Here is a 12,440-nt window from a genome sequence, read left to right as displayed (position 1 = left end):
TTACCCCTGAAACATGAGCATCTGGAATGGACATGCTGGGACTTACTCTTGGAAATAGGCCAGTTTACAGCATTTACAGCAGGCTTAACATGCCCTTCATCTTTCATCACTGCTTCTAGGGGCAACGACTCAATTTAAACGAACTCACTGTCGCACTTCCTCCACCTCCTTCTCTCCCATGATGCATTGTCATCTGGCTTTTATCACCTGTTCTGCCCTTGAATTTGAACATGCCAAAGATATAAGTATTGGATTGCAGTCTTGCAGTATTATTTGGTGAGTTTTTTTTTAATGCATACAGCTTTTTCATAAGTGCATAAATGGGATTATATAAACAATGTTTAGAGTAGTTTTCTTTTTTACCCTTTTGCCTGGTTTGCTCTTCTTCCCTATCACATCCCTTCCAATCCATGTTAATAACCTAGTGTGTGTCCTTACATATTTTGAAAAATCTGTTAGATATAATTTAAATTCAACAAAATTCATCTATTTTAAGTGTATAGTTTGAGGTTGGCAAATATATTCCATCATGTAGCCAAGATATGGAACGTTTCCATCACCAATAAAGTTCCCTGGTGTCCCTCTGCAGTCAGTCTACTCCCCCTTCCATGTCAGTGGGATCTTGTGCTCAGCAACTTTCATTTGGCATAATGCTTTTTGAGATGCGTCTATGCATGGACAACATTTTTGGCCAGTAGGAATAATAGAGCTATTTTGCATTTGAGTTTGCACTTTTTTTGTGAAAATGAAAATTTCTGTCCTATGGGGTTGACTTTTTCTTGTTAATATTTAATCTGCTGTGTGTGACAATTTCCCCCCTATTTTGTTGTCTATCTTTACAGTAACTTTTCACAATATCTATACTTTTTGTTATGGACAGTGTGACCATCTTTCCTTTTTTTTAGCTTCTTAGTTAAATTGACCTCTATTCTCTCTTTGATTTTTTTTTTGGTGTGGGGGGGCTGTCCTTAAGCTTCATCAATTTTCATACATCTTGAATTGCTCTTTTGTTAGTATGTCTCCATCAGTAAAAATTTACTATTTCTTATTTCCATAAATGTTGTTACTACTTAGCCGGTTTAGCTTGAATCGGAAGTCTGGGAGATCAAAACCTATCCTCTTCCCAATACGCCACCTAATCTCATGGCACCAGTGCATAAAGACGTGGAAGCATAAAAATGTGTGTTGTGTGGAAGCAACACATTTATTTACAAACCTTTTTTTTCTTTTTCCCTCAGAGGAGGGTCATTTTCAGAGTACTTTTGGTAATCCGATCTAAGCTTTGGACCTTTTTGTCCCCCAAAATAAGCATATACATGAACTTTTGCATACTACTTCAGGAGGTTTATTGAAACCACTTATTTGACCCCAGGCTGAATAAGGAACCACGCTGAAGAAAATGTTAGGAATGGTTGGATAAATAGTATCCTAGGAAGCTTGGCTTCTTTCTAATAGAAAAGTCAAGGCACTATAAAGACTCTCAATCTCTCTCTCTCTCTACATATATATATATAATTAAATATAAATATATTTATAATATAAATCAATATATTATTTATATATAATATAAATAGTTAATAGATTAATTATTAATATATATTATATATATTATATATATAATATATAATATATATTTAATATATATAACATTTAATATATATAACATATTTCTATATAATTAGATATATTTATATATAAATTATATATTAATATACCTATATTGATATCTGAATTTATATAAAGTAGATATATAATTATATATAATTTTTTGACTTTTTTTAATAGCCAAAGATTGCAGATATTAATCTTGTACAACAGTTGTTTTAAATTATATATACATTGTGGAATGACTAGATTGAGCTAATTAGCATATGCATTACCTCACTTTTTTCTTTTGTGGTGGGACCACTGAGAATCTACTTCTCTTAGCAATTTTCAAGAACACAATACATTATTAACTGTAGTCACCATGTTGTACAATAGACTCCTTGAACTTATTCCTCCTATTTAATTGAAGTTTTGTATCCTTTGACCAACATCTCCTAAGGCCTCACCTCTGGCAACCACCATTTTACTATCTACTTCTATGAGTTCAACTTTTTTAGATTTCACATATACTATGTAAGATCATGTGGTATTTGTCATTCTTGCCTGGCTTATTTTACTTAACATTGTGTCTTCCAGGTTCATTCATGTTGTTGAAAATGGCAGAATTTCCTTCTTTTTAAAGACTGAAGAGCATCCCATTGTGTATAGATACCATATTTTCTCTATCCACTTATCTGTTTGTGGACACTTAGGTTGATTTCATAACTTGGCTATTGTGAAAAACGCTGTAATGAACATGAGAGTGCAGATACCTCTTTGACATACTGATTTCATATCCCTTGGAAACATGCAGAGTAGTGGGATTGCTGGATCGTATGGTAGTACTATTTTCAATTTTTTGGGAAGCCTCCAGACTCTTTTCCATAATGGCTGTACTAATTTATATTCTTATCAACAGCGTGCAAGGTTCCCTTTTCTCCACGTACTCTCCAACAAAGACTATATTTTTACATATAAAAAATAAAAACATAAAAATGGTTCCTCTGCTTTTTGAAAGTAAGACTGTTGTTGTCTATAAAAATCCTTTTAAATATTTGTTCATTGGAGTTTTTTTTAAAGACTATATTTTTAAATATTAACAAACCTCAAAATGTCTATGGTAAGCAGAATAATGGGCCTTCAAAGATGTCCCCAACTTAATCCCCTGTGAATATATTACCTGACATGTTAAAAACTTTGCAAATGTGATCAAGGTCAAGGCTTGAGATGGATAAATTATCCTGGTTTATCTGGGAGGGTCCTAGAATCTAACCACATGAATCCTTTAAAATGGAAACAGAGGATATAAGAGGTCAGAGAGACTCTATGTGAGTAGGACTTGACTCAACACTGCTGACTTTGAGGCAGGGGAAGAAATGTGGGCTGGGCGCGGTGGCTAACGTCTGTAATCCCAGCACTTCGGGAGGCCGAGGCGGGCGGATCAACTTGAGGTCAGAAGTTCGAGACCAGCCTGGCCAGCATGGTGAAACCCCGTCTCCACTAAAAATACAAAAATTAGCCGGGCATGGTGGTAGGCGCCTGTAATCCCAGCTATTTGGGAGGCTGAGGCATGAGAATGGCTGAGGCAGAAGTTGCAGTGAACCGAGATTGTGCCACTGCACTCCAGCCTGGGCGATAGAGGGAGACTCAGTCTCAAAATTAAAATAAAATAAGATAAAAAATAAAAAATAAAAATGTGTGTGACCTCTAGACTCTGGGAATAACTCTCAGCCGACAACAGCCAGAAACCATCTCAGTTCCACAATACAAGAAACTGAATTATGCCAGAAATTCAAATGAACAAGGAAGTGTGTTCTCCCCTAGGGTTTCCAGAAAGGAACAGTCCCGCCAATGACTTGATTTTAGCCTGGTGAGACCCATGTCAGTTCTGACCTACTGAACTGTAAGGTAATAAGTTTGTGTTGTTGAAACCACTAAGGTTGCGGTAGCAACAGAAAACGAATACAAATTCCTATACAAGTTCAACTATAGAGATACATAAAGTATAAAATTACCGTACAGCTGTGCTATTTGTGATAATAACATCTAATAGAAAATGCTTCACAAATTCAAGATACACGCACTGTCATCTCTCTTATTTTTCCTAACAATTTTGTGTATACCCATATGAATAATTAGCGGAAGTCCAGACTCTCCTGCCTGTAAGCGCTTCTCTACTTCTGGAATCGTCCAACAACTCCAGGGCTCAATGAAGTCCCCAAAGGGTTAACGGCTTCCACATCCAAGCGGCTACAGTGCAGGAATCTTCTCGGTTCACTGTTGTGTCTGCTTCTTATAATCACACGGTGGCGCTGTTGGAATGAGTTCCACACAGAACAGGGAAGTAGCTCCTCTCCCCAGGTGATGATGCGGTACTAACCAAGACTCCTGCACAGGCTTCCAGGGGTCTTTAGGCCATGCCTAATTCAGCCAAGAAAGTCTGCTCAGGTTCAGTTCCCAGTGCTCAACCCTCTAGTTCTCATTCACAGCTGACTCCCAGTGGACCAGGAAGCCCCAGGGGCTCCTTATCATAACTGGTTCTGGGGTCTGTCACTTCATAGCGATATCCTCAAGTGCTTCCCACGGACCTTTCCCTTATTCCCCAAAGGGAATCATGCCAGGAAATTCCAAAGTATTCGTACATATCCTTCTAAAGGGAGTTTAGCAATGTCAGGATGATTTTCTGGTAATAGAGGACTTGCTGATACCTCTCATTACAGTTAATCTTTTAGAGCATAATTCAACTTTTAAAAGGATCTTTATATGGCAAAATGTATTATTTTTTCATGTTTATTTATTTTTATTTTTATTATTTTATTTTTCCATAAGTTATTGGGGTGCATGTGGTGTTTGGTTACATGAGTAAGTTCTTTAGTGGTGATTTGTGAGATTTTGGTGCACCTATCACCTGAGCAGTATACACTGCACCATATCTGTAGTCTTTTATCCCTCCCCCTCCTTCCACTCTTCCCCCCAAGTCTCCAAAGTCCATTGTATCATTCTTATGCCTTTGTGTCTCATAGCTTAGCTCCCACATATCAGTGAGAACATATGATGTTTGGGTTTCCAATCCTGAGTTACTTCACTTAGAATAATAGTGTCCAATCTCATCCAGGTCACTGCAAGTGCTGTTAATTCATTCCTCTTTATGGCTGAGTAGTATTCCATCATATATATATATATATTATGGATATATATATATATTATGGATATATATATATATATCACAGTTTATCCACTAGATTGATGGGCATTTGGGTTGGTTCTACGATTTTGCAATTGTGAATTGTGCTGCTATAAACATGCGTGTGCAAGTATCTTTTTCAAATAATGACTTCTTTTCCTCTGGGTAGATACCCAGTAGTAAGATTGCTGGATCAAATGGTAGTTCTACATTTAGTTCATTAAGGAATCTCCACACTGTTTTCCATAGTGGCTGTACTAGTTTACAGTCCCACCAGCAGTGTAGAAGTGTTCCCTGATCACCACATCCATGCCAACATCTACTGTTTTTTGATTTTTGATTATGGCCATTTCCCTGGGAGTAAGGTGATATCGCATTGTGGTTTTGATTTGCAATTCCCTGATCATGAGTGAAGTTGAGCATTTTTTCATATGTTTGTTGGCCATTTGTATATTTTTTCTTACTGATTTGTTTGAGTTTGTTGTAGATTCTGGATGTTAGTCCTTTGTCAGATGTATAGATTGTGAAGACTTTCTCCCACTCTGTGGATTGTCTGTTTACTCTGCTGACTGTTCCTTTTGCCATGGAAAAGCTCTTTAATTAGGTCCTAGCTATTTATCTTTGTTTTTATTGCATTTGCTTTTGGGTTTTTGGTCATGAAATCCTTGCCTAAGCCAACGTCTAGAAGGGTTTTTCCAATGTTGTCTTCTAGAATTTTTAGTTTCAGGTCTTAGGTTTAAGTCCTTAATCCATCTTAAGTTGATTTTTGTATGAGGTGAGAGATGAGGATGCAGTTTAATTCTCCTACATGTGGCTAGCCAATTATCCCAGCACCATTTGCTGAAAAGAGTGTCCTTTCCCCACTTTATGGTTTTGTTTGCTTTGTCGAAGATCAGTTGGCTGGAAGTATTTGGGTTTATTTCTGGTTCTCTACTCAGTTCCATTGGTCTATGTGCCTATATTTTTTACCAGCACCACACTCTTTTAGTGACTATGGTCTTATAGTATAGTTTGAAATCAGGTAGTGTGATGCCTCCAGACTTGTTCTTTTTGCTTAGTCTTGCTTTGGCTATGCAGGCTCTTTTTTGGTTCCATATGAATTTTAGAATTATTTTTTCTAACTCTGTGAAGAATGATGGTGGTATTTTGATGGGGATTGTGTTTAATTTGTGGATTACTTTGGCAGAATGGTCATTTTTACAATATTGATTCTACCCATCCATGAGCATGGGATGCGTTTCCATTTGTTTGTATTGTCTGTGATTTCTTTCAGCAATATTTTGTAGTTTTTCTTGTAGAGGTCTTTCGACTCCTTTGTTAAGTATATTCCTAAGTATTTTATTTTATTTGCGGCTACTGTAAAGGGGGTTGAGTTCTTGATTTGATTCTCCGCTTGGTTGCTGTTGCTGTGTAGAAGAGCTATTGATTTGCGTGCATTAATCTTGTATCTGGGAATTTTGTTGAATGCTTTTATCAGTTCTAGGAGCTTTCTGGAAGAGTTCCTGGGGTTTTCAAGGTAAACGATCATATCATCAGCAAATGGGGACAGTTTGACTTTCCTCTTTACTGATTTGGATGCCCTTTATTTCTTTCTCTTGTCTGATTTCTCTGGCTAGGACTTCCAATACTATGTTGAAGAGGAGTGGTGAGAGTGGGCATCCTTGTCTCATTCCTGTTCTCAGAGGGAGTGCTTTCAATTTTTCCCCATTCAGTATTATGTTGGCTGTGGGTTTGTCATAGATGGATTTTATTACATTAAGGTATGTCCCTTGTATGTTGATTTTGCTGAGAATTTTAATCATAAAGCATGCTGGATTTTGTCTAATGCTTTTTCTGTATCTACTGAGACGATCATGTGATTTTTGTTTTTACTTCTGTTTAGGTGGTGTATCGTATTTGTTGACTTGTGTATGTTAAACCGTCCCTGCATCTCTGGTATGAAACCCAGTTGATCATGGTGGATTATCTTTTTGATATGTTGTTGGATTTGGTTAGCTAGTATTTTATTAAGGATTTTAGCATCTAACTTCATCAAGGATATCTGTCTGTAGTTTTCTTTCGTGGTTGTGTCCTTTCCTGGTTTTGGTATTAGGGTGATGCTGGCTTCATAGAATGAATTAGGGAGGGTTCCTTCTTTATCTTGTGGAATAGTGTCAAAAGGATTGGTACCAATTCTTCTTTGAATGTCTGGTAGAATTCTTCTGTGAATCCATCTGGTCCTGAACATTTTTTTGTTGGTAATTTTAAAATCACTGTTTCAGTCTCACTGCTTGTTATTGGTCTGCTCAGGGTATCTAATTCTTCCTGATTTAAGCTAGGAGAGTTGTATTTTTCTGGGAATTTATCCATCTCGTCTAGGTTTTCTAGTTTATGTGCGTAAAGTTGTTCATAGTAGCCCTGAATGATCTTTTGTATTTCAGTGGTGTCAGTTGTAATATCTCCTGCTTCATTTCTTAGTGAGGTTATTTGAATTTTCTCTCCTTTTCTTGGTTAATCTTACTAATGGTCTATCAATTTTATTTATCTTTTCAAAGAACCAGCTTTTTGCTTCATTTATTGTTTGTATTTTTTTGTTTGTTTCAGTTTCACTTGGTTCTGCTCTGATCTTGGTTATTTCCTTTATTCTGCTGGGTTTGGGTTTGGTTTTGTTCTTGTTTCTCTAGTCCCTTGAGGTGTGACCTTAGATTGTCTGTTTGTGCCCTTTCAGACTTTTTGATATAGTTGTTTAGGGCTATGAACCTCTTATCATTGCCTTAACTGTATCCCAGAGGTTTTTGATAGGTTGTGTCATTCTTGTCATTCAGTTTGAATAATTTTTTAATTTCAATCTTGATTTTGTTTTTGACCCAATGCTCATTCAGGAGCAGGTTATTTAATTCCCATGTATTTGCGTGGTTTTGAAGGTTCCTTTTGGAGTTGATTTCCAGTTTTATTCCACTGTGGTCTAAGAGAGTGCTTGATATAATTTCAATTTTTTTAAATTTATTGAGGCTCATTTTATGGCCTATCATAGGGTCTGTCTTGGAGAAAGTTCCATGTGCTGTTGAATAGAATGTGTGTTCTGAGGTTGTTGGATGAAATGTTCTGTATATTTCTGTTAAATCCATTTGTTCCATGGTATAGTTTAAATCCATTGTTTCTTTGTTGACTTTCTGACTTGATGACCTGTCTAATGCTGCCAGTGAAGTATTGAAGTCCCCCACTATTATTTTATTGCTATCTATCTCATTTCTTAGGTCTGTTAGTAATTGTTTCATAAATTTGGGATCTCAGGTGTTCGATGCATATATGTTTAGGATTGTGATATTTTCCTGTTGGACAAGGCCTTTTATCAATATATAATGTTTCTCTGTGTCTCTTTTAACCGCTGTTGCTTTAAAGTTTGTTTTATCTGATATAAGAATAGCTACCACTGCTCACTTTTGGTGTCCATTTGCATGAAATGCCTTTTTCCACCCCTTTATTTTAAGTTTATGTGAGTCCTTATCTGTTAGGTGAGTTTTTTGAAGGCAGCAGATGGTTGGTGAGCTCTTATCCATTCTGTGGCTCTCTATTTTTTAAGTGGGGCACTTAGGCATTTACATTCAACGTTAATATTGAAATGTTAGGTACCATTGCACTGATCATGCTCTTTGTTGCCTATGTACTTTGTTTTGTTTTTTGTTTTTGCTTTTTTAACTTATATTTTTGTTTTATAGGTCCTGTGTGACTTATGCTTTAAAGAGGTCCTGTTTTGATGTGTTTCTAGGATTTGTTTCAGGATTTAGAGCTCCTTTTAGCAATTCTTACAGTGGTTGCTTGGTAATGGCAAATTCTCTCAGCATTTGTTTATCTGAAAATGACTGTATCTTTCCTTCATATCATGCTTAGTTTCACTGGATACAAAGTTTTTGGCTGATAATTGTTTCGTTTGAGTAGGCTGAAGATAGGGCCTCAATTCCTTCTAGCTTGTAGGGTTTCTGCTGAGAAATCTGCTGTTAATCTGATGGGTTTTCCTTCATAGGTTACCTGGTGCTTCTGTCTCACAGCTCTTAAGATTCTTTCCTTCATCTTAACTTTGTATAACCTGAGGACAATGTGCCTGGGTGAAGATCTTTTTGCGGTGAATTTCCCAGGTGTTCTTTGTGCTTCTTGTATTTGCATGTCTAGGTCTCTAGCAAGGCTGGGGAAGTTTTCCTTGATTATTCCCCCAAATATTGTTTTCCAAGCTTCTAGAATTGTCTTCTTCCTCAGGAACACCGATTATTCTTAGGTTTTGTCATTTAACACAATCCCAGATTTCTTGGAGGCTTTGTTCATATTTTCTAATTCTTTTTTCTTTGTCTTTGTAGAAGTGGGTTAATTTGAAGACCTTGTCTTCGAGCTCTGAATTTTTTTCTTCCACTTGTTCAGTTCTATTGCTGAGACTTTCCAGAGCATTTTGCATTCCTGAAGTGTATCCAAAGTTTCCTGAATTTTTGATTTTTTGTTTAAGTTATCTATTTCCTTGGATATTTCTCCCTTCTCTTCTTGTATCATTTTTTGGATTTCGTTGCATTGGCCTTTGCCTTTCTCTGGCCCCTCCCTGATTAGCTCAATAACTAACCTCCTGAATTCTTTTCAAGATAAATAAGAGATTTCGTCTTGGTTTGGATCTATTGCTGGTGAACTAGTGTGATTTTTGAGGGGGTATTGATGAGCCTTGTTTTGTCATATTACCAGGGTTGGTTTTCTGGCTCCTTCTCATTTGAGTAGGTTCTGTCAGAGTCTAGGGCTGAAAGATGTTGTTTGGATTTTTTTGTCCCATGGAGTGTTCTGTTGGTGTAGTACTCTCCCACTTTTCCTGTGGTTGTGGCTCCCTGTGAGCTGAACTGCAGTGATCGTTGTCTCTCTTCTGGGTCTAGGCATTCAGAGAGTCTACCCAGCTCTGGGCTGGTACTAGGGGTTGTCTGCACAGAGTCCTGTGATGCGAACCATCTATGAGTTTCTCAGCCATGGATACCAGTGCCTGTTCCAGTGGAGGTGGCAGAGGGTGCAATGTACTTTGTGGGGGCCCTTAGCTTTGGTGGTTTAATGCTCTATTTTTGTGCTGGTTGGCCTCCTGCCAGGAGGTGGCACTTTCCAGAAAGCATCAACTGTAGTAGTGTGGAGAGGGGCCAGTGATGGGTGGGGCCCAAGAACTCCCAAAATTATATGCCCTTTGTCTTCCACTACCAGGGTGGGTAGGGAAGGACCAGCAGGTGGGGGTGGGGCTAGGTGTGTCTGGGCTCAGACTCTCCTTGGACGGGTCTTGCTGTGGCTGCTGTGGGGCATGGGGTGAGATTCCCAGATCACTGGAGTTGTGTACCTAGGAGGATTATGGCTGCTTCTGTTGAGTCATGCAGGTTGTCAGGGAAGTGGGAGAAAGCCGGCAGTCACAGACCTCACCCAGCTCTCACACAAACCAAAGGGCCAGTCTCACTCCCACCGTGCCTACCACAACAGTCCGAGTCTGTTTCCAGGTGCAGGGCGAGACAGGCTTGAAAACTTGCCCGAGGCTTTCTGTCTCCTAGCCGCGAAAGAAAAGAGCTTTAGTTCTTCCCCTGCCTGTGAAGTCTGCAAGCCAGATTTGTACCCTCCCCCAAGTTCTGACTAGGAGGTTTCTCACCTCGTTCAAATTGTTACAAAGTTCAGCCAGGGAATTCCTTCTCCCTGTGGAGTTTTACCCTCTGCTCTTCTGGCCACCCTCCTGATGGATCCCTGCGGTGCCAGGCAGGAATGGGCAGCTTGGGGACCCACTGAGCCCCCAGGGCCTTTCTGCTGCTTTCTCTACCCCTGTATTTTGTTTGGCTCGGCTCTCTAACTTGACTCAGCTCCAGGTAAAGTTGGAAACTTCTCCCACAAACAGACCTTCAGCTTCTCCAGTGGGGGTGTGTGTTCAGAAGAGGAGGGTCTCCCTTTCCAACTTCCACAGTTGGGGCACTCACAGTATTTAGGGTGTCTCCCAGGTCCCGCAGGAGCCGTTCGCTTCCTTCAGAGGGTCTGTGGCTCCTCTCAGGATTGCTGGTTTGTTCTTACAGCCAATCTGGAGCTAAAATTCACAGTGCAAGCATCTGTATGTTGCTCTCTCCGGAGCTGCAATCTAGTCCAGCCTCCCATCTGCCATGATCCCTACAGGCTAAAATTTATTAATCTTTTAAGTATTTAACTTTGTATGACTGTTGGCTTCTGTTTTAACAAATTCTTCCTTGCCACAAAGTCAAAATTTATTGGAGTATATTGAGGTCTAGTTATATGCGAAAAATTTTACCTGTTTTGTGTGTGGAATTCCATAAATTTTGAAAAGCACTTGTAGTTGTGTAACCATCATTGTAAACAAGATCTAGAACATTTCCATCACCCGAAAAAGTTTCTTCCTGCCCCTATGTAATGAATCCCCTCTACCAGCACCCAAACCCTGAAACTGCTGATCTGTTTTTTGTTCCCAAGTTTACCTTTGCAAGAATGTTATATAAATGGAATAATTCAGAATGTTTCCTTTTGAGTCCAGCTTCTCTCACTTAGCATGATATATTTGAGATTCGTCTGTATTGTTCCATGTATTAACACTTCATTCCCCCCTTTATTTCTGAGTAGTGTTCTATCATATGGATGCAACACAATATGTTTATCCATTCACCAACTGGTGTCCACTGGGTTGTTTCTAGTATTTGGAGATTATTAATAAAACCCTACAAACTTTCATGTACAGGTCTTCTTGTGAGCATAAGTTTCCATTTCTTTTGGATCAATACCTAAGGGAAGGATTGCTTATCATATGTGTCAAATGATAAGTATATGTTTAATGATATGAAATTGCCAAACTGCTTTCCAAAGTAGCTGTACCATTTTGCATTCCCACTCACAATGTATGAGGGTTCTTTTTGCGTTGCATCCTCACCAGTGCTTGGTATTCTCAGTTTGGTTTTAGCTACTCTAGTAGGTGTATCTCACTGTGATTTAAATTTACATTTTCCTAATGACTAATAATATTATGAGTAATTTTTCACATGCTCGTTTGCTATCTACATTTCTTCCTTGGTGATATGTCTGTTCAAGTCTTTTGATCATTTTTGTATTTTAAATTGATTTTTGATTGAGTTCCTCATATATTCTGTGTATCAGCGGTTTCTTATTTAAATAACATATGTGTTTTGTGGACATTTTCTTTCAATCTGTGACTTGTCTTTGCATTCTTTTAACATTATCTTTTAAGGAACAGAAGTTTTTAATTTTGATGAAGTGATGAAGTCCAATTTATCATTTTTTAATTTTGTGGTTCATGCTTTTTGTGTTCCACCTAAGAAATGTTTGCCTAATGCAGATCACAAAGATTATCTGGAAGTTTCAGAGTTTTTGGCTCTACATTTAGGTGTGTGATCATTTCAAATTACACTTTTATATGGTGTCAGGTTTGGTCAAGGTTGGTTTGTTTGTTTTTGCATATAATGTTCAACTGCTCCAGCACTATTTGTTGAAATGACTAGCTTTTCTTCATTGAATTGATTTGACATCTTTGTTGAAAATTGTTTGGTCACATATATATGAATTTATTTCTGGAGTCTGTCATGTGTTCCGCTGATCTGCAAGTCTGCTCCTTTTCCAATACTGCACTTCTTGATTCCTGAAACTTATAGTTAGTCGGCAAATAAAGGAATGTAAACCCTCCAAC

General features: G+C 38.2%; 2 annotated features.

Annotated features, from left to right (window-relative positions):
• Nucleotides 9,606-10,213: an enhancer, noted in NCBI's record as "H3K27ac-H3K4me1 hESC enhancer chr12:22590205-22590812 (GRCh37/hg19 assembly coordinates)". NCBI's record gives its function as "activates a minimal SCP1, AML or CMV promoter by ChIP-STARR-seq in naive H9 embryonic stem cells {active_cell/tissue: H9 hESC(naive)}" and the evidence as "EXISTENCE:reporter gene assay evidence [ECO:0000049][PMID:30033119]".
• Nucleotides 10,214-10,821: an enhancer, noted in NCBI's record as "H3K27ac-H3K4me1 hESC enhancer chr12:22589597-22590204 (GRCh37/hg19 assembly coordinates)". NCBI's record gives its function as "activates a minimal SCP1, AML or CMV promoter by ChIP-STARR-seq in primed H9 embryonic stem cells {active_cell/tissue: H9 hESC(primed)}" and the evidence as "EXISTENCE:reporter gene assay evidence [ECO:0000049][PMID:30033119]".

This window comes from Homo sapiens, chromosome 12 (genome assembly GCF_000001405.40).
Source record: "Homo sapiens chromosome 12, GRCh38.p14 Primary Assembly".
Taxonomy (NCBI): domain Eukaryota; kingdom Metazoa; phylum Chordata; class Mammalia; order Primates; family Hominidae; genus Homo; species Homo sapiens.
Note: the sequence above shows the minus strand (reverse complement) of the source record. Positions and strands in the feature narration are given on the sequence as shown.